The following is a 22,687-nucleotide window of genomic DNA, read 5'->3' as shown; positions in this document are numbered from 1 at the left end:
TATGAATAGTTGAAACTCACTCTGAGAATTCCAAAAGTCTGATGTACATGATTAAAATTTACAACATGAGATGTGACTGACTCCTAGCAAAATGTATATATTGCACATCACCAAATGGAACTATGTAAGGCATTAACTTTAAATAATATGTTTATATCTAAATAGCTTTATGGGACTTTTTTATAACATATATACATACTTTTGCTTTCTGCAGTGGAGCCATACGACAGCATAATACAGCTGAACAATTTCTGCAAACTTCCATAAATAGTTTTTCATGCTCCCTGAGTGCAAGAGATAGGCTGGTCCCATCCACTACCAGCCCATGCTGAATCACATGATCCTCTGTAATTCTAAAAGAGAAAATAATTATATTCTCTGTAAGATACTTTGAAGCCATATTATTTACACTCATATAGAACAACACATTCTTACTGAAAGATGGATCTTTTACCCACAGCCCTTACTGTTACAAGACTGTTATGTCAGGAAACAAACTGTTTTACTACCTTAAATTTAAAATTAAGCAGAATTGAGTCACTGATGAGTAAAACAGATAATATTCAATTTTTCTTTCTTTCTCTTTTTTGTGAAACAGGGTCTTGCTCTGTCACCCAGGCTGGAGTATAGTGGCTCACTGCAGCCTTGACCTCCTGGGCTTAAGTGATTCTCTTGCTTCAGCTTCCTATCTTGGACTATAGGCATGAGCCACTATGATTGGCTAATTTTTGTTATTTTAGTAGAGATGGGGTTTCACTATGTTGCCCAGGCTGGTCTCAAACTCCTGACCTCAAGCGATCTGCCTGTCTCAGCCTCTCAAAGTGCTGGGATTACAGGTGTGAGCCGCTGTGCCCAGCCTAATATTCAATTTTACAATGAACTGATATATAGATACAGTAATTATATTTTCTAAAATGTGAATTGTAATACATAATCTGAGGATATTCTCCCAAATTAGATGAAAAGTCTTACAAAAATCGAAACATTATTTAAACATTCAGCAAATCCTAATTAAAAAAAAACTCTATGAAATCAAGATGTTCAGGAAAACCCATGAGCAAGATTCACGATATGCATAACAAGCAAGGAAAAGAATGAAGGAACAGCACTGTCTTGCAATAGGAAACCGATGATGGATTGTAATGCCAGATATTACTATGGTAGAACATGGATAACACCTCACATGTGGGCATATGCTACGTAGGTGCTACTCCAAGTACAGTCTCACTGCTGGAAAGTGGGCAAACTATTTGTTGCCAGGAAGAGATAAGGAGCCTACACCAGAATGTAAATCAACAAAATCACTAAGCACACTATTTTATTAAACTGCTTCCCCCCACAATTCTCCTTTGGTAATAATACTTTCTTGATGAAGGAAGTATACCTAGATTTACATTTTGATGTAAGCTCCTTTATGTTGCTGAAAGCCAGTACTCAGTGTAGCACTGTGCTATATACACCACAAGAAAATACCGAAGGTTCACAGAATATCAGACTCTGCTGAGAACTATCCCTCCACTTAAAAATAAGAAGTGAGAAGACTATTAAATGAGCACACTATAAAAGCTAAACATATATTGATAGATTTTAGTCTTATAAGAAACTTTCGTAAGTTAAAGCAATGTCTTTCATAGTATGCCTAATCACTGTTGTGTTGTACTGTAGCTATAAGTGGTAAGCAATTCACTTTATACCATAAAGTTTTATAAAATGTATTTTTCTCATTACTACTAACTCTCCAATATCTGAAATCAACACCTATATAGACAATTTTTCTTCCCTATTGGCCAAACTTTATTTGGCAACTTGTGCTGCCTCCAATGTCTTCAGCCTGTCCAAAGCACTACCTGAGGAACAGGCCTCAGAAATGCTAGCAGTCAAGAGTGGGACAGAGCAGATCAGTTTTCCTAGGAAAAGTTCCCAAGGCACATGAAATTAGGTTTTCCTCTGGACAGGCTTCATGAATCACATTATGATCTTACAATCCATGGGATAATATTTAAGAAATATGGAAAAGCACCTACATCTCTGGCACGTAGGTAGCATTTACTCATCTCTGTAGCCCTCATGCATCACTACTCTTCATACCCTGTCCCATCTATACCACTCCCTGGCCATACTTTATAATTATTTCCTTGAATATGCCCTCCTCTCTCTCAGCTCTGGGAATCTGCACGCACTGCCCCCTTTGCTGCCTTTATTTTTCTGACACAGCAACTCACTCTGTCACCCAGGCTGGAGTGCAGTGGTGTGATCACAACTCACCACAGCCTTAACCTCCCTGATTCAATACATCCTCCCACCTCAGCCTCCCAAGACGCTGGGACTGCAGGTATGTGTCACCACACACGTCTAATTTTTGTATTGTTTGTAGAGACGGGGTTTCACTATGTTGCCCAGGCTGGTCTTGAACTTCTAGACTCAAGTGATCTGCCTTCCTTGGCCTCCCAAAGTGCTGGGATTATTGGCCACTGTGCCTGTAAGTCAGGATTATGAGCCACTGTGCCCAGCCTCCCGTTTGCTTCTTAGTGTCACTCTCTGTCCAGTGAACATTTCGCCCCACAGGAGGCAACACAGTCATTGGTTGTTCAGAGCTCTCCCTGGTACCCCTGGTCTAGGCTAGGCTTCTCTCTTCTGTCCTTCCAGAGCTTCTGTTCTTGCCTCAGATACAGTTCTGTAGGGATAGGACTATGACAGTGTATTTACTTTTCTGTTTTCCCTACACCAAGTATCCAAGGCATAAACAACACACCTTATGTCTCTGTTCCAAATGCCTAGACAGGTGACAATATATCTTTGTGAAGGAATGGATATATATACTAAAGCTTTCAAAGGCATGAAATTCTTTGTGCGACAGATTTTTATCAAGATTTAGGATACTTCCTGAAAGTCTGTGAATGAATGGGCCTATTGACTTCTATGGTTATCTCATAAAATATATTCCATCAAAAGATACCTCTAAAATATAACATAAATTTCACATAGAAAGTGCTATGGTTTGAATGTCGAATCCCTTCCAAAATTAATGTGGAAAGTTAACCCCCATTGTTATGAAGTGGGGCCTTTTCGGAAGTGATTAAGTCATAATGGCTTTGCCTTCATGAATGGATTAATGCTCTGATAAAAGAGGCTTCAGAGATTTGCCCTCTCTTGCCTTTCGTCCCTTCCACCATGTGTGGACACAGTAATCCTCCCTTCAGAAGGATGCAGCAATAAGGCACCATTTTGGAACAGGGAGCAGCCCTCACTATACAACTTGCTGGTGCCTTGATCTTCAACTTCCCAGCCTCCAGAATTGTGAAAAATAAATTTCTGTTCTTTATAAATTACCTAGTCTCAGGTATTTTGTTACAGCAGCACAAACAGACTAAGACGGCAAGCCTAAAATTCACTTTAAGAGTGTACTCTACGTTTTATAATACAGCTTTTGTACAGAAAAGAAAACAAATACTAATGATTAGCATATTCATTAAAACCACCTATATACAGAAGACTTAAAGAAAATAGCCTAAATTACAAATAATAATCTTCTGATGACTTTGTTATTAACCACTGCATAAGCTTTACAATTTTCAGTATTTTTCAAGTAGACATTTATTATTTTTATAATCAGAAAAATATTTTTTAAAATTATTTTTATTTTTTAGGCAAGAGCACAGTTCACTGTAGCCTTGAACTTCTGGGCTCAAGTGATCCTCTTGTCTCAGCTTTCGGAGTAACTGGGACTACAGGTACACACCCCCACACCTGGATAATTTTTAAATTTCTTGTGGGGACAGGGTCTCATTACATTGACCAGGCTGATCTCAAACTCCTGGGCTCAAGCGATCCACCTCAGCCTCCCAGGGTGTTGGGATTACAGGCATGAGCTACTGTGCCCAGCCAGAAAAAAATATTTAAAAAGGCATATATAAAGTAAATGATTCTGAGCAATTAATTTCTGTGTTTTAGGGAGTTCATGATATTGCAGTATTTAAACGTTTAAATAGCCACAATGTTGTTGACACTGTCCCCAAATTGTAGTATAATTACCTAAATTAATTGTCTTTTTGCACTCAAAGATCCAGTGTGACCCTATTTAAGAGATATTTTAAGAAGACCCTATATGGGCCGGGTGCGGTGGCTCACACCTATAATCCCAGCACTTTGGGAGGCCAAGGCAGGCAGATCACCTGAGGTCAGGTGTTCGAGACCAGCCTGACCAATGCAGAGAAACCCTGTCTTTACTAAAAATACAAAATTAGCTGGGCACGGTGGTGCATGCCTGTAATCCCAGCTACGCAGGAGGCTGAGGCAGGAGAATCACTTGAACCCGGAAGGCGGAGGTTGTGGTGAACCGAGTGCGTCATTGCACTCCAGCCTGGGCAACAAGAGTGAAACTCTGTCTCAAAAAACAAACAAACAACAACAACAACAAAACAACAACAACAAAAAATCCCCTGCATGGTCTTTTTAAAATATCTCTTAAATAGGTTTTAAAAAGATGAAATCCAGACTTGGTATCACATAAATGCCTGCATAAAAAATATAAATAGAAAACACTGAATGTATATTAACAACTATGGTATTTGTCTCTTGGTATTTATTTTTCTGGATTAGTATCACAAGACAGCAAACAACAGAAACCTGCAGGAGACCTAATATGCTTACATACAAGCAGCTCTGATGGTCAAATGAAGCCCTTCCTAGTTTACTGTGAAAAATTAGACTGTGTTAAATGGGGCATCATTTGCCCCCATACAGGGCAAAAATTTGATATGCCTATAAAAGATAGATTTACAAAAAAGACAGAATTTAGAGTATAAATTCTTATGAAATAATCTTGAACAATTAAATGCAGCTTAATTTCCCAGTTTGGTCATGCAAACTAGATCAGGGGTTGGCAAATGTTTTCTGTTACGGGCCAGAGAGTAAATATTTCAATTTTAGGTTTTGTGGGCCAAGAGGCAAAATTGAGGATATAGGTAGTTACAGAATGAGAGGAAAAAATCTCAACAAAATTTTCACTAAGATAAAAATGTAGTAATCATTGAGTATAATTTTTTAAATAAGAGAGGTTTACTAATGAGAAGAATGAAAATACTTCTTTTGGGCAAGGGATAGTACTTTGTTTAATTGGGGTTCAAAGTTAACATTGCAAATGTTCATCTGTTAATGTCCATCTGTAACGAGATTTTTACATTTCCATACGATAGAACTGTATGTAATGAGATTTATAATTCATCTTTGAAAATGTCTTTTCAAACAGGTAGCACAGCTAACATATCAATGCATAATAAACAATGCTTTGCCATCTAACTCAAAAATAAAATAATCCCCTATCCACAGTGCTTCAAAAAAAATCGTAATGTTAAAAGTCCACTTTTCTTTTCTTGTTTTGACATGATGGCCATATACTAATAAAAAACAGTAAAATGTCGCAACATGGTGCTATGCATGGCACTCCAAACACTATCACATTATATGTATCTCACTGTGATTTGTAGAGTATCAAACAGCAGTGTAAAGCTGAAGAGAGAGTATTTTGTAAAGTCTCTGCTGCAACTACTCAATTCTGATGCTGTAGTGTAAAAGCACTCATTGGTAATATGTAAACAAATGAATGTGATTGTGTTCCAATCAAACTTTATAGACACTGGAATTTGAATTTCATATACTTTTCACTTCATGAAATATTCTTCTTCTTTGGATTTCATCTATCAAAAAATGTAAAAACTACTTTTAGCTGATAGGCTGTAAAAAACAGGCAGTGACAGTGGGCTATATCATCGGGCCCAGGGAACCATAGTTTGCTAACCCCTGAAAGGTATGATACAGGTTCCTATATTCTTACCTTCTGGCAAGCTGCCTCAATTGTTCAGCACACTCGCTGTCTGATTTCTGGTTTATAAGTTCAAGGATGTTCATGGTTCTATGAAAATGGCCACATGATAAACTCACACTAACAGCTGTTTCATGTTTATCCCCAGTAAGTACCCATACTTTGATACCAGCCATTCTCAATGCTTCAATAGTTTCTCGAACTTTATCTTGTAGTCTGAAAAGAACAGAAACAAATTAGTAGTAGAGAATACTTTTATGACTGTATTTTAAGTTAAACTACATAGTATATTTAAGGATAATTCTAAACTCTTTGACTTGACCTAGGAATGTTATTATACAATATAGCAATATAACTGGAATTTTCTCTCATTAGGAAGGAAACACGAATAAACAGATTGGTAATTGTCTGGTTAACACAAAATCAACCAATTAAAATCTACAATTTCATATTTTAAGAATGTATCTTCAAAGTTGCTATTCATAGGATGAAACTATGTGCTCTTCATAAACTCCTGTTTTATTACGAAGTCTTACATTTCAAACAAGAAGATTTTTCTCCTTTTGTTTTGATTTAAAAAAATATCTCAAACCACTCATATAGTTAAAAAATCAGACTGTAGAAAATAAAGGTCTAGCTAACTTTAGGTGAGTCTCAGAAATCTCGTAAGGACAACCAAAAAGTAAATGAAAACATAGATTTTAAAAATATGCAAACACCCTTAGGTCTAGGTGGTGGAGGCAAACATAACAACAAACTTAATCTGCAGAATTCAATCTCAGAATTCAGCTAAATTTAAGAAACTGTGAAACAGACATTGAGATAGGTTCTGGGAACAAAGACAAAGAATAAATGGACTTCAAGGATTTCACAGGTTAACAGAGGAGAAGTCTTTAAACAAATAATTATAATATAGTGCCACAAAGACAACAACAGAACTACCTACAATGAGACTTCACAAAGAAGAGAATTTTTAATCCTCTTAGGTGTCAGGAAAGGTCTTACTGGACTGGAGCTAATATCTAAGCTATACTTTATGAATAGGTAGTCACAGAGGGATGGTGAAGGGAAGAATCACCCAGGCAGAAGGCCAACATAGGCACAAAACAGAATAGTTTTAGCTACAGGTGGCATGCAGAGACAGTTTGGTATTGTTGAAACATAAAGCGGAAGGAGACAGTGGTAGGAGGGAAGGCTGGAGAATTAAGCAGGTGCTTCAAGTGTTTGCATGACATGCTGAGGAGTATTCTAAAGATTCAAGCCTATAAGAAAAAACTATAGAGAGCTAGTTTCTTTCATCCATTTCAGGTATCTAGCTAGAACAAAAATTGTACATACTGACCGGGAAAAATTAAGGCTTTAGTTCTCTACTTTGATCTTAAATATATCATGGGATGTTAGTAAAGAGAATTTATGTCACATATTAGAATACTTGGTTACAAAAATTCCTATGAGAGAAAAGTAATATTTTTTAATTATCTGATACTTACCTGTCTTCTACTGCTGTGGCTCCAAGTAATATCAGGTCTTTCTCTATGAACTGGAAAACAGCTGCCAATTTCTCTTCCCGCTGCTGCAAGGCAGTCCTGGCTTCAAATATGCGTTTATCTATTTCCTCATACTCTTTTGATGTAAATTTTCTATATGCTATACACAGAGTTCTTAGCCCTTTCTAAAACAAACAAATAAAAATTAAAGACAAAAATTGAACACAAACAACAAACAGAAAATCAAGAAGTCACTATCAAAATACACTGAAGACCTAGTACCAAAAGTCAATCACAAATCATTTAAAAAGTACTATCACCTAGTGACAGGAAATAAATAATGTCACAAAGCTCTACTGATCTGAGTTATGGGACACATATACCTCTTTCAACTTCTGATGTTTTCTTAAGAAGTTGCTCAAAATAGGCTGGGTGCGGTGGCTCACGCCTGTAATCCCAGCACTCTGGGAGGCCAAGGCAGGCGGATCATGAGGTCAGGAGATCGAGACCATCCTGGCTAACATGGTGAAACCCAGTCTCTACTAAAAATACAAAAAATTGGGCGGGCATAGTGGCGGGCACCTGTAGTCCCAGCTACTCAGGAAGCTGAGGCAGGAGAATGGCGTGAACCCGGGAGGTGGAGCTTGCAGTGAGCCGAAATAGCATCACTGCACTCCAGCCTGGGCGAAAGAGCGAGACTCTGTCTCAAAAAAAAAAAAAAGTTGCTCAAAATAATTAAGGTCACTGAATTGTAGAATATTAGAGCCTAGAATAGATCATAAAGACTATCCTATTAGTGGTTTTTAAACTGTGTTACATGGAAAGCCAGAAAGTTCTTAATACCTTCAAGACTGTCAAGAGAGAGAGACAGCTGCAGGTTCTACCTTCCTGTTTTAACTTACAATTCCATTTTTTACCTACTTCGTACAATTTTCTAAAGCAAAGGAGACCATAATTTCCTAAAGATTCATTGCATGACAAAATTTACCTTTCAAATAAGTCAATAAAATGGCCATTATAAAAAATACTTTTTAGATTTACCAAATAAATGATTTTAAGTAATATATCTTCACCAGTGAATTGGAATCAGAATTGATTATCTGGTTCTACTAGGGCCAAAGTTTTCTTATAGTATTCATCTCTGAAAGTTGATATCTAAATCTAAAGACTTATAAAAGTTCCTTTTCTTGCTACATGCATTTTCCTCAAGAAAACCAATAATAAATATTCTTTTTTATTTTTAGAGACAGGGTCTTGCTCTGTTGCTCAGGCTGGAGTGCAGTGGTGTGATCTTGGCTTACTATAGCCTTGAACTCCTGGGCTCAAGTGATCCTGCTGCCTCAGCCTCCTGAGTAGCTAGGTCTACAGACATGTGCCACCACGCTTGGCTATGTTTTATTTTTTTGTAGAGATGGGGTCTTGCTACATTGCCCAGGCTGGTCTCAAACTCCTGGCCACAAGTGATACTGCCTCAGCATCCCAAAGTGCTGGGATTACAGGCATGAGCCACTGTGCTGAGCCCCATAATAAATATCCTAATAACAACTTGGAAAGCGTAGACTTAAAAATACTATATAACATTATTTAGCAGATTTCTTTTTTTTTTTTTTTTTCAGACGGAGACTTGCTCTGTTGCCCAGGCTGGAGTGCAGTGGTGCGATCTTGGCTCACTGCAAGCTCCGCCTCCTATGTTCAAGTGATTCTCCTGCCTCAGCCTCCCGAGTAGCTGGGACTACTGGTGGGGTTTCATCCTGTTAGCCAGGATGGTCTCAATCTCCTGACCTCGTGATCTGCTAGCCTCGGCCTCCCAAAGTGCTGGGATTACAGGTGTGAGCCACCGCGCCCAGCCCTATTTAGCAGATTTCTAAATATTGCCATTCCCTGACTTATAAATGACCCATACCTATAAATGTGCTTCTTTTAATTAATAGTTAAAAAACCATCTGTTATTAATATATGAATTAATTCATTCTATAACAAATACTTACTGAGCACAAACTATGTGCCAGCATTATTTTAAATATTAAAATGGTGATAAGGTAGAACAATGTCTTTGTTCTCACAGATGTTACGATGTGGTGGGTAAACTGGAACATAAACAATTAGGAAACAAATAATGGGAAAAAAATCATAAACTGTTAAAGAAGGCAGATGAGCAGAGGTGAGTGTGGAGCACACATTCACAGAAATGCAAAAATGAGAGATCATGAAGTTCTAAGACTGAGAGAGAACTGCATAATAATTTTGCCATTTACATGAATGATGGCTCTTTGTTTTAACAAGATTCCCCTATATTTTTAAATTTTGTAAATGAGAGATATAATTCACCTCTTCAAACAGTACAAATCAGTGTTATATCGCATATTCACAGAGTTGTGCAATTATCACCACTATCTAAATCCACAATATCTCATTGCTCCCACGAGGACTCTCCTTTTTCCCCTTCCTCCAGCCCCTGGCAATCATTAATGAGCTTTCTCTGTGAATTTGCCTATTCTGGATATTTCATATAAATGTAGTATTAATATAAGGCCTTTTTTGACTGCCTCTTTCACTCAGCACACTCTTTTCAAGATTCGTCCATGTTGTAGCATATATTGGTACTTCATTCCTCTTAACAGCTGACTGATATTCCATTATATGGATATACCACATTTTGCCTATCCACTTGTTAGCTGGACATTTGGGGTTTTCCATTTTTGTGGCTATTGGAAATAATGCTGCTTATGAACATTTCGTGTATAAGATTTTTTTGTGAACATGTTTTCAGCTGTCTTGGGTGTCCACCCAGGAGTAGAACTGCTGTGTCATATAGTAACTCAATGTTTACCTTTTGAGGAACTTAGCCAAATTATTTTTCAATGTGGCTGTACCATTTATAATCTTACCAGCAATATGTGTATAAGGGTTCCAGTTTCTCCACATCATTAGGATTCCCCTATGTTTGTTTAATAAACACTCTTCTAAAATAGCATAGTTTGAGTAGACCTTGTAACCAGAAATGCCCCGACTGTAGAGTAGGTTTGAAGAGAAGATATATTTTTGCTTGCGTTAAAAGTCAGTTTTCACAAAAGGAATGTGGAGCCAACACACAGTGTAACACAACTGCAGAATGTCCACAATTTTTGATAAATTATAAGAAATAAAGTCCAAAATATTTCATAAATATATCTTTTAGAGTTTTTTAAATCATAGAAATTTGCACTCACCAAAGCAAATTCATCTACATGAATTCTGGTTTTTTCTATTTCTCCACCTATACATTTAGGGAGAATTGATGACTCAGCTCCTTTAGCAAATAATAACTTCTCACCTAGAGACAAAAAAAATGAGTTATCAGACTCTTAATATTACATAAATAAAAATTCATGAAAGTTTAGATTGGTTACCTGAAGGTGCCTGAACAATTACACTCATTCTCCTACGATCTGAATCAAATTCCAGAATATGAAGCAGTTTGTACCTAAACAAAAGAAAGTAAGAAAGACAAAAACTTTACTTTTTTTAAAATAATATTAAGTGACTATATGGAAATAATCCATATATAAGATAAAATGGCTAATTGAGAACAAGAATTAATACCATTTTCATGATGATAGGTTACATGCCATTAATAACAAAACAGGGAAGAAATAGAAGAGACTGACATTGAGTAATTACCAAATGCCATGTATTTTACACACCTTATGTCATTTAATATCCATGAGAGGCCAAGAAAGTAGGTCTTATCTCATTTTTATAGATGAGGACTATTAACCTCAGAAAGATTAAGTAATTTGCCTAAAGTCAGGTAAGCTTGTGAGTGGCAGAGCAAGAACTGGAATCCAGATCTGCCCAGCTCCATGTTTTTCTGACTAAAAAAGGTAACTGATTCTCAACGCTTTTTTCTGTCCTAATACACCTGACAAACACAACACACATTAATATCAAAGGCTCATTATAGCAGTGACTGTGAACCTGGGTGTGTGTGTGCGGGGGTCCATTCCCTCGTGCCTCTCTAGGGAGCTGTAAAAGAATTTGTGTGGCTACATGAGGTGTGGCTTAAAGTCTTCCAGATGAATCTTACACAGTGATTTACATATGAAATCTTTACACATCTCCAAGAAAAACAGTGAGTTGAATAATGGTTTATAAGTTGATAAAATAAGCTAGACAGGCTCTCACATGAAAGTAGCCAAAGAATGGGCCCTATCTAGTATGGAAAAGCATAGTTTGGAAAAGCACAGCTGGAATTGACATATGATCAGAATTGCTAAAACCATGAAAGGAGTAAGTATATTAAGCATGAACTAATTTATCAAAGAATGGAAAAACTAGATATAGACAGCTGTTCCTTCATGTTTGAAAGATAAAAATCACAGGAAATACAAGGAAAGTTTTCTTTATTCAGTGAGAAGAACCTATAAAACTCACTACCCAGAAGCATCTAAAAATAAACATACAAGTAAATTCAAGAATCATTAAGTTAAAATATAGATGAAATATTCAAAGCATACTATTGTTATAACTATGATGAGATACAATATAATGTTAACATCATTCTAGAGCAGAGTTCAGTAACTTTTTCTGTAAAGGGCCAGAGAGTAAATATTTCAGGCTTTGCAGGCCATACATGGTCTCTGTTGCATATTTTACCTCTTTTTAAAACAACCCTTTAAAAATGTAATGTGGGCCAGGCACAGTGGATCACACCTGTAATCCCTGCATTTTGGGAGGCCAAGGTGGGTGGATCTCTTGAGGCTAGGAGTTTCAGACCAGCCTGGTCAACATTTCCACTAAAAATACAAAAATTAGCCAGGCATAGTGGCGCATGCCTGTAATCCCAGCTACCTGGGAGGCTGAGGCACAAGCATCACTTGAACCTGGGAGGTGGAGGCTGCAGTGAGCCAAGATTGTGCCACTGCACTCCAGCCTGGGTGACAGAGCAAGATTCTGTCTCAAAAAAAAAAAAAAAAAAAAAAGTAATGTGACTTGTGGGCTGTAGAAAAACAGAAAATATAGGCCACATTTGCCCTGTGAGCTACAGTTTACTGATCCTTATTCTATACTATATACACTTAACACAGAAAACATTCCAATATATGAAAAAAAATTACCGTTCCAGTTTTCCAAGAGTTTTAACCTCCATAGTTTCTTCAGAATTGCCAATAAACACAATACCAATCCTAGACATCAAAAGGATAAAAAAGTGAGACTTAAGAAATAATACTGCATATTTCACAATGTCACTATAGCTTAACTTGAATAAAAACATTTAAAATCAAAGTTCAAAATGCATTTAAAAATATTTCCTTTTAATATTACAACTTTGGTGCCAGGAGTGGTGGCTCATGCCTGTCATCCCAGCACTTCAGGAGGCCAAAGCGGGTTGATCACCTGAGGGTAGGAGTTCAAGACCAGTCTGGCTAACATGGCGAAACCCAATCTCTACTAAAAATACAAAAATTAGCCAGGTGTGGTGCCCTGTGCCTGTAGTCAGTCCCAGCTACTCAGGTGTCTGGGTCAGGAGAATGGCTTGAACCCCAGAGGCTGCATTGAGCTGAGATCACACCACTGCACTCCAGCCTGGGTGACAGAGTGAGATTCCATCTCAAAAAAAGAAAAAAAAATATATATATATTTTATATATATTCTTATATATTCTTTTTAATATATATTTTTATTTATATATGTTATATATAATAATTTTTATTTATTACTTACATATTTTTATAAAATGTATATAAAAATATATAAATATATATACACATACACAAACATATATATATACTTTTAAGGACTAGAAGGATTAGAAGGATCAGAGTAGGTGTAGTACAACATATGCACAAGCATTTTTAATAAATTCTATTACACAGATTTTTATAGTAATCAGATTTTCAAAGAGATCTTAAAAAAAGACTCAATGCAAGCTTGATAATAAAATGACTTCAAATTGTCATTTAAAATTTAAATTGTACTTCTATTTTTATGTATTTATATGAATTCTGACAACTTAAAATGACGAATTTATGTTTGAAAATTTTAAATGATGATTCTAATATTGTTACATTTATTTAAATGGTGTTTTTCCGAAGATTTGGAAATCAGACTAAATTACCTTGCAGCAGCTTCTACTAGAGCCTTTTCATCTGGTGAAGATGCATAGTACTCCAACTGCGATGGTGCCAGGTTGGATTGCCAGGGACCATCACCAGTGCAGTCAGTTTGAACATTGCTAATCTGTACAGTGTGACAGAGACTGACTGCTTTAAAGAAGAGATCATGTTCTTTAATCTGTAAAAATGTAATTAATATTCATGATAAAAATATCATTTCCACATACCATTTAGGAAACCAGAGGCAAAATTCTAAGATCTAGAACAAGAGTGCTACAACCTTGATTGCCTGAATAACAGTTGGTTGTTTCTGCCTTCAAAAAGTAAAATGTCACATTTGCTTAGGACCCTTCAACACGTGAGCATCTTTTTAGGAGGTACAACCACATTGCAAGTAGAGGGGAACACTTTTTTATAGAAGAAGTGAGGTCTCAAAAAGTATTAAATAAATTTAAGCTCTATTTTTCAAAGAAAGTCTTCTTCACTTCAAGGCAGTAAGGGCTTTTCTTAACTACGTTCCATTTAAATACTCAAAGAGCTAAGGCAGACACGTATTAAATAACAAGTTAAACTGGGCTGTAACAACAAATTCTTAGGATTATATTTTATATTGTTGAATCAAATATATGAATTTCAAATGTATATTCCTTGCTCTACTGACACAAACTTTTTTTCCTGCAACTCATCAACTACTGAAGAGAATTATTTCATATGAAACCCTTATTTATTAATTTAAAAATTACTTACTAGTTCAGTTTCATTTTCAGGACTGGTTCTGAAAGAGGAACTGGTTGTAAGATGGGATAAGTTGTTAAGATGGGATAAACTACTAAGATAAGATAAGTTTCCTTCTGAAGAGTCTGGTGTTGGTCCTTCGGGTACAAGTCTACCATTAATTTCTTGGTATTTCATGCCATTAATTGAACATTCCCGAAACTGCATCTCATTTTCTGTCAGTGTACCAGTTTTATCTGTAAACACGTACTCTACCTATAGAGATAGAAAACAAAAGAAAATAAACCTTTGTGTTCATGGTCCTATGTTAAACAAGAAAAAAATCTCTGTCCTCGCTCTCCTGAAGTCCAGTTTATCTATTAATATTGATATATGGATGCTGAGATTCTTATAATCCAAGCACAATTAAATAAATATAGATGCCAAGGAAAGAAAACAGGGTAACACAAAATAGTTTAAAGCTACATAGATTTTGAAGTTTGTGGCATCTTTACGTACATGTTTATCTGTAGAATTGACGAGAATTTGGTATTAATGCTTCTTTTCTTTTTCTTGGCTAAGGTATTTTAAGTAGTAGGACTCTAAGAATTATCTCTAAAGCAGGGTGGAAAGGATGCTTAATAATGTAGAATGGGAAAGGGTATCCGAGTGAGGAGAAATAGTGCAGAGCTAGGAATAGGAATACACAGTGATAGTGACAGCAACACAAGAAGTTAGAGGTGCGAATTGTCTAAAACAGAGAGAAGTTGAAACTGAGGACAGAAAACAAATTTAGTGAAAAAAATCGATGTTTAAAAGAAAAAAACATATTTTTAAAAGTAAGTAAGACAAATTATTTTATTACTTTTGGAGACTAATTCCAGAAAAAGTACTTTAAAAGAAAGTATGTCCATGAAAAAAGAAGGATGTAATAGTCAAGTCTTGATCCAACCAGGATCATCATGAAAATCTGATTACTGCAATAATGACTTGAGAAAGAAGTCCTTTAAAAAGGGATGTAGAAATCACAAGAAAAGAAGCTACAGATCAACATCCCTTATAAAGAGATGCAAATCAAATCCAGAAACATATAAAAAGGGTTATATACTACAAATATGTGGGATTTATCCCAGAATTGCAAGATTGACTCAACACTTAAAAAAATTAATGTAATCCATCATATTAATAAAATGGTACCTGGCCTTCATTTTATTGATAAAATAACCACCAAAATAGGTACAGAAAAAGCATTTGATAAAAATCCAATACCCTTCATGATAAAGGCGTTCAACAAACTGGAATAAAAAGGAACTTCCTCAGCCTGATAAAGGGTATCTATAAAAAACTCACAGTTAACATCGTACCTTATGGAGAGAGACTGAATGCTGTCTTCCTAAGATCAGGAATAAGACTGCTTTTGTCACTTTTACTCAACATTGTACTTAAGGTTCTAGCCATGACAATTAGGCAAGAAAAGGGAAATAAAAGTTAACATGATTGGAAAACAAGAGGTAAAACTATCTCCATTTGCACATGATATGACCTTGTATACAGAAAATTCTAAAAAACTGACTAAAAAAAATAGAATATATAAGTTCAGCACAATTCCAGGATAAAAAGATCGATATCCAAAAAGAAAGGTAGGGTTAAATTTGGCAAAAAATTACTTAACTTACCTAAAGTCAAAAAGCAAATAAATGGTGAAACTGGAAATAAGAGATAGAATACTTTATCTTTACTATTTGATATTAAATGTTGCCCAGTATTTATAGCAATGTTGAACTGGAATTTAAAGACCCCATGCAAGTTAATTAAAAAAAGCCCACACATGTAGATCAGGAAGAATGAGGGATGAGTTATACAGAAAATATATAAGATACATTAGCAATCAAACAGAAATAATACTCAGAGGTTACTAGAATACAGACTGCACTATCAGTCATGGAGGATTCTTTAGAAAAAAGATTAGATGGTAGGGATGGATAAAATAAATTAACTTTGATTTAAAAGTATATATATATATATAAAATCAAGAAGTTTAATCTTTTAACTTTCATGATAAACAGGTCATCACTGTAAACCTTCCTAAGAGTTGTTTTTTGGATAATATGGAAATGAAAGAGCACAGAAGAATATGAAATAAAGTAGATTTCATTGGTAAAAGACAAAATAGGAATAGAGGCAGTAAACATACATTAAATACTTGTAGTTTCAAAAGCAAAAAGAGAGGCTGAGAAAATCAGTAATTAAAGAAATAATCACCAGAAGTTTCTTAAAGACAAAGCAGACATGAGTATGCATACACAATGTGAGGTTCCAGGAAAACAAAAATTCTATCATGAAGAAAAAAGGAGGGGAAGAGAGTTGAGAAAGAAAGGTCAAAGGCAGATTGGAAAAATTTATTCAGAAAAGTAAAAATGGGCCTTTAGGCCTTACATATATAATATGTAATTAAAGAAATGTGACATGAATTAATATTTAACATAAATTATTAAGGCCTCCTAAATGTTACTAAAAATAAATGGATTGGCCAGGCGCGGTGGCTCATGCTTGTAATCCCAGCACTTTGGGAGGCCGAGGCGGGTGGATCACGAGGTCAGGAGATCGAGACCACGGTGAAACCCCATCTCTACTAAAAATACAAAAAATTAGCCAGGTGTGGTGGCGGGTGCCTGTAGTCCCAACTACTCGGAGAGGCTGAGGCAGGAGAATGGCGTGAACCCAGGAGGCGGAGCTTGCAGTGAGCCGAGATTGCACCACTGCACTCCAGCCTGGGAGACAGAGTGAGACTCTGTCTCAAAAATAAATAAATAAATAAATAAATGGATCAACTTGTGGTTAAACATGACAGGTTGAGCACATTTAATTATCTCTGGTTCTCTTAAAACTTCACCATGAGGATAAAAAAAAAAACAGAAAAAGAACAAAAATAATGGTAAAAAAGTCAGCATGAGAGGGAAGATTGACACAAGTTTGGAAGATGGAAAAGGAGATGAATGAGTGGTAACTGATGTACCAGAACTTAGAATCTGAAACCCAAGTGATGAGAAAACCCATTCTCAGAAACGCTCAGGAAGTAGACCTACCAGCTACCCCTGAATGTGGGAGTACAGGATGAGGCTGAAAATACAAGCTATCAGGAGTAGTTTAAATTCTGAAATCTCTTTAAAAGTTGCAAACTTCAGAACGCCCCTCATTTATTGGAGCAACAGCTGGAAGGTGTATTCCCCTAGTAGGCTGAACTGGACAGAATCTGGTCTCCGCAGACAGCTGAACACAGAAGGGAGGCAGTGCACTAAAAACAGGTATCCAATGGCCAGCTCTAGCAGCCATAAGCAGCAGAAATATTACCTGCTGGGCCTGTCAGCTCATTACCTTAAGGTGTGGCCCACTGAATCAATAGCTTCTGATAAGCATATTAGTGCCTGAGGTTTTTTTTGTTTTTTTTTTTTAGACAGGGTTTCACTCTTGTCACCCAGGTTGGAGTGCAATGGCACAATCTGGGCTCACTGCAACCTCCATCTCCTGGGCTCAAGTGATTCTCCTACCTTAGCCTCCCAGGTAGCTGGGACCACAGGCACACACCACTGCGCCCAGCTAATTTTTGTATTCCAGCTAGTATTTGTATTTTTTGTTTTTGTATTTTTTTGTAGAGATGGGGTTTTGCCATGTTCTCCAGGCTGGTCTTGAACTCCTGGGCTCAAGTGATCTACCCACCTTGGCCTCCCAAAGTGCTGGGATTACAGGCATGAGCCACTGAGCCCAGCCTTTCATTTTTTTTTTTTTTTGAGACAGGGTCTCACTCTGTTGCCCAGGCTGGAGTGCAGTGGTGTGACCAGGGTTCACTGCAGCCTCGATTTCCTGGGCTCAAGTCATCCTCTCACCTCAGCCTCCTGGGTAGAGTACTTTTAAATTTGAAATGATAGCCAAAGATTAGCATCCATTTGAGGATCACTCCTTACATAAAAGGTAGAATCTGAAACAAATTATAATCAGTTCTGTTGTAACACTGTCTTGAAAACACAAATTTATCCCAATGCAACTGATACAATAAGAGACAATTTGAGCATAATCAAAACTTTGTGCAAATTTTGCCCAAAACTCAGTTACTAGCTATCTCAGTTCACCATGTGTTATGAGTCACACTCATCCACATCTGGTATTACAACCTTCCCTCTGATTTCAGATAACCTTCCCTTTCACACTTCACAGTAACACTTAAGTTGCAACCCTTCTGATGCCTATCTTCCACAGGCAAACTTCAGGTCCAGGTAAGTGCCGTATTTATTGAAGCATTTGTGTATTCATGAACAATTTGGCAAGTGCTGTTTTTATTAGGTTCCTATCTTTTAAAAAATGTATTATTAGGCTGGGCACAGTGGCTCACACCTGTAATCCCAGCACTTTGGGAGGCCAAGGTGGGAGGATCACCTGAGGTCGGGAGTTTGAGACCAGCCTGACCAATATGGAGAAACCACGTTTCTACTAAAAATACAAAATTAGCCGGGCGTGGTGGCACATGCCTGTAATCCCAGCTACTCGGGAGGCTGAGGTAGAAGAATTGCTTGAACCCAGGAGGCGGAGGTTGCAGTGAGCCAAGATTGCGCCATTGCACTCCAGCCTGGGCAACAAGAGCAAAACTCCGTCTCAAAAAAAAAAAAAAAAAGTATTATTGTTTTTGTGTTGTACCCCTAATCCCATTCTCTCATAAACCCTGTGGCTTTTACTAGGCAATTTTGCATTATGCAGTGAATTTTAGGAACGCATATATCACATTATAGCAGAACTGGCTGTTCTGGAAAATGCACTACAAGCAAAGATAATAGAGGGAGCAGAAGAAGACTTCAATTGACTGTCATTAATATCCTCGGGGAGGTAAAAGAATAGATTATGTTCAAGAAATGGGATAAGAGGCAATTTTAAAAAACTATCCAGAGAATACCAAAATATTAGAAATTAAAAATATTATAGCAGAAATAAATCAAAAGATACTGAAAAGATAAATCAGAGGCATTCTACCAGAAAGTAGAATATAAAAACAAATAAATAAAAACTGAAAATTGAAGTCAGAGAATTAAAGGGTCAATATAAGTGGTAGGACATGCAAATAGTAAGTTTCAAAACAAGAGAAACATAGAAAGACATGTTATCAAAACAATAGTACAAGAAAATTTCCTAGAATTGAAAGACATGTATTTCCAGGATGAAAAGACTCACAGAGTTAATTGCCCATGAAACAAAAAATAAAAAAGGAAAAACGAACACCAAGGTACACCATCATGAATTTCAGAACTATTGCATAAGGAGATCCTAAAGCTTCCAGAGATAAAACAACAGATCATACATAAAGAATTGGGAATCAGAATGGAACTGGATTTCTCTAACAGCAACACTGGAGGCTAGAAAACAATAAAATCCCTTCAAATTTCTGAAGATTTCAATCTGCAATGCAATAACAGCTAAATTATTAATCAAGTGTGAAAAGAGAATAAAGATATTTTCAGACATGCCAAGTTTCAAAACATTATCCTCTGATACATCCTTTCTCAGGAAGTTATTAGAAGATGTACAGCACCAAAAGAGAATAAGCCACAGGTAGGAAGACATGGGATGCAAGAAAGAGGAGATCCAAAACAGGAGAGAGGCAAAGGAATTTCCAGGGTGATGGTAAAGTGAAGTCCAGAGTGACAGCTGAGAAGCAAGCCCAGAAAGAGTAAAGAATAATCCAATCGGAGCAGAAAGGTGGAAGCCTCCAAAAACATTGCTACCAAAAAAAAAAAAAAGGAAGGCAGGGAGGAAGAAAGGAACTTCTAGATTACCTGGTATGTTTGAATATATAGACAGATGCTGCACATATTATCAGAGACTTGTTTGTGGCACATGGAAATTGAGGAAATGAAAAAACAGAGCAAATAACTCTTGGGAAAACAAAATATATAAGAAGGGAAATGTAATTATGGTATTACAGGACACATCTATAGAACCGGGAATTAGTGAACAATATTAAAACAATCATAATAATGTTAATAAAAATATTTATTAAATCCCAAATTGTGATATGATAGTATTAGGGGGCTATGGAGAAGCAAAGGGATATGTGTCTGGGAAGAGTAGTGTAAGAGTTATGTCTTTATATTCCATAGTAGATAATGTCTAAAACTTAAGAATAAGAAAGAATATCAAATAGAAATATAGTGGTAAATAACAAAAGAAACAACTTAGGGTTTAAAAATTGGGAACAGCTAGGAGTGGAGCAAAGGGGGGTTGTTTTTGGTATAAGCATCATAATACCTTGTTACATTAATCTTTGTCCATGTATTGCTTTGATAAAAATAACAAATTAGAGAAACAAAATATTAGGATCATTTTCACCTGTCCAAGCTCTTCATTCAGATCGGAAGTATTGACTTGAGCTTTCTGATCTGATTCTTCATGATACAGATCAAGATCCCAGCCAATAAAAAATGATCCAAGAAATTTCTGCATTTCGACTGTCACATATAATGAAATTGGAATGATGAAATTGTAGAGAACCAAAAAAGCAAGGAAGTCTGAAATAAATCTCAGAATCTAGAAAAAAGGAAATAATTGTTTGAAAAGAAAAAATAAACTAGAATTTCTTCAGTATTACTGATGAAAATTACCAGAAAGTTTCATGCCTACATAGACCATCAACTATATTCTGAGGTAGAATAGTCTCATGAATTGAAATTCATTTATTGAATTGTCTTTTTAACATTACATTTCCTCTGGTTATTTTATTGCTCATTAGAATCTTGATAAAGTAAATGATGAAAAGGTTAAATTCAAGTAACTTAATTCGTTACTTTCAGAAGCTAACAAAAAGCCTGGTATGACTGAAACTACCTTTGGCAAAATTATAATTATAATATCTGCAGTGTATTTATCCCATTCTACTATTACCCTTCAAAATCAGATAACTACTAAAAGTTGAGTGTAACTTTACAAAGTTATAAAATAACTGCGAGGTTAAAAGTGCCAGAAATTAAAACTCTTAAGTGCAGATTATATAGGAATAGCCTACTTTAACGGCTTTAGCGGCTCCATATTTCAATATGCATTGGTGAAAGGAAATGTACCTAATTGTGAATGATATTAAAAATACGACCCTGTGATTATTTGCTTTGTAGTTTCTTGAGATCCAAATTTGTCTTCCAATACAAAGATTTTAATCTAAAGTGAAACCTGGAGAACAATTATTTACCAAAATTATAGGTTAAATTCTCTTGGTAGTCCATGTTTAATCAATTTAAAATATATGACATAATTTGCATATTACTTCATATTAAGACTGATAACAAGCATCCTTGAATTATTAAGACAAAATTAAAAATACATCCATTTACTCTTTGATTCATTTATAAGACACAGTAAGTGGAAGAGAAAATTGAGTTTGTAGTATTAATGTGAAATGCAAATATAGATGGATTTAAAATTTTGTGACCTCTTTGAACTATTCAAGTCATGCCACAGGGAATACAACTTTTTATGCCGTAAACTACAAAAAGCGTATCAGTACAAACACGCTGGCTTCTCTGCATTTGCAATGCCATTTCTGTCACCCTTCAGTACCAACAGTTTTAGGATTACAGTGGTCTCTCCAATCAGAAGTCACTACCAAAGCACTAATCGTGCCAAGTAATAGTTTCCTTTATGACACAGTCAATAACACCATAAAATACCTTACTGCTATTTCTTTGATGTTCTGTTTTTTGGTTATACCAAGGTTCATCCCATTTTTCTTCAGCTTGCCATGTATACTTCAAGATAGTGCTGATGACAGCTTCAGATATAAGAATTACTAGATAAATTATCAAAAATGTATTCATTGACCTTAAGGAAGAAAAAGAGAATATAAAACATACAACTCATGTATTACTATATTCATTTGCTTGAAAATTAGTACTTGTATTAGAGAAGATATTAAAACATAGAGGGTATTACTGTAACTATTTTAAAATACACAGCTTTTGTTTTCAAGAAATAACCGTTAAATAGAATTTATTTATTAGCAATAAAAGAACCAGTGCACACAGGTTACAAGCCTATTTAATATAGCCATGTTACCATTAAAAATGTTTACAGTAAATGACGGTTTTAGTCAGTTATTTTTGCCATAAGTAATTATTCTAAGTTTTTTTTTTTTTACATTTTCAGCACCCACCTTAAGTGTAATAGCTAAAAATAGCATTTGTATAGCATTAAAATTTTATAAAATGTTTGTCACATCTACTACCTTACCTAATCTATATGAAAACCCTGGCTGGGTGTGGTGGCTCACTACGCCTGTAATCCCAGCACTTTGGGAGACCGAGGCGGGTGGATCACGAGATCAGGAGATTGAGACCATCCTGGTTAACACGATGAAACCCCATCTCTACTAAAAATACAAAAAAAATTAGCTGGGCGTGGTGACGGGCGCCTGTATTCCCAGCTACTCAGGAGGCTGAGGCAGGAGAATGGCATGAACTCGGGAGGCAGAGCTTGCAGTGAGGCGAGATCGTGCCACTGCACTCTAGCCTGGGCGACAGAGCGAGACTCTGTCTCGA

At 36.1% G+C, this 22,687-nt stretch overlaps 1 protein-coding gene across 6 annotated transcripts in view; it reads right to left on the bottom strand.

The window, feature by feature from the left end:
• ATP11B (ATPase phospholipid transporting 11B (putative)) overlaps positions 1-22,687 on the bottom strand; it is a 128,126-nt gene that overhangs the window by 41,781 nt on the left and 63,658 nt on the right. For 5 of the 6 annotated variants that reach the window (XM_047447784.1, NM_014616.3, XM_011512593.3 and 2 more), the window contains 10 exons: positions 21,821-21,971; positions 20,490-20,687; positions 14,151-14,393; positions 13,406-13,581; positions 12,405-12,473; positions 10,698-10,771; positions 10,518-10,621; positions 7,312-7,493; positions 5,834-6,037; positions 200-353 (listed from right to left, as the gene is read on the bottom strand). In XM_047447784.1, the coding sequence (XP_047303740.1) occupies positions 200-353; positions 5,834-6,037; positions 7,312-7,493; positions 10,518-10,621; positions 10,698-10,771; positions 12,405-12,473; positions 13,406-13,581; positions 14,151-14,393; positions 20,490-20,687; positions 21,821-21,971 (1,555 nt within the window). Of the gene's footprint in view, positions 1-199; positions 354-5,833; positions 6,038-7,311; positions 7,494-10,517; positions 10,622-10,697; positions 10,772-12,404; positions 12,474-13,405; positions 13,582-14,150; positions 14,394-20,489; positions 20,688-21,820; positions 21,972-22,687 lie in introns of those variants that run through there. The other variant, XM_017006008.2, reaches the window with a different exon arrangement.

The sequence above is a fragment of the Homo sapiens genome, chromosome 3, assembly GCF_000001405.40.
Source record: "Homo sapiens chromosome 3, GRCh38.p14 Primary Assembly".
NCBI lineage: Eukaryota > Metazoa > Chordata > Mammalia > Primates > Hominidae > Homo > Homo sapiens.
The sequence above is the reverse complement of the archived record's forward strand: the minus strand, read 5'-3'. Positions and strand labels throughout refer to the sequence as shown.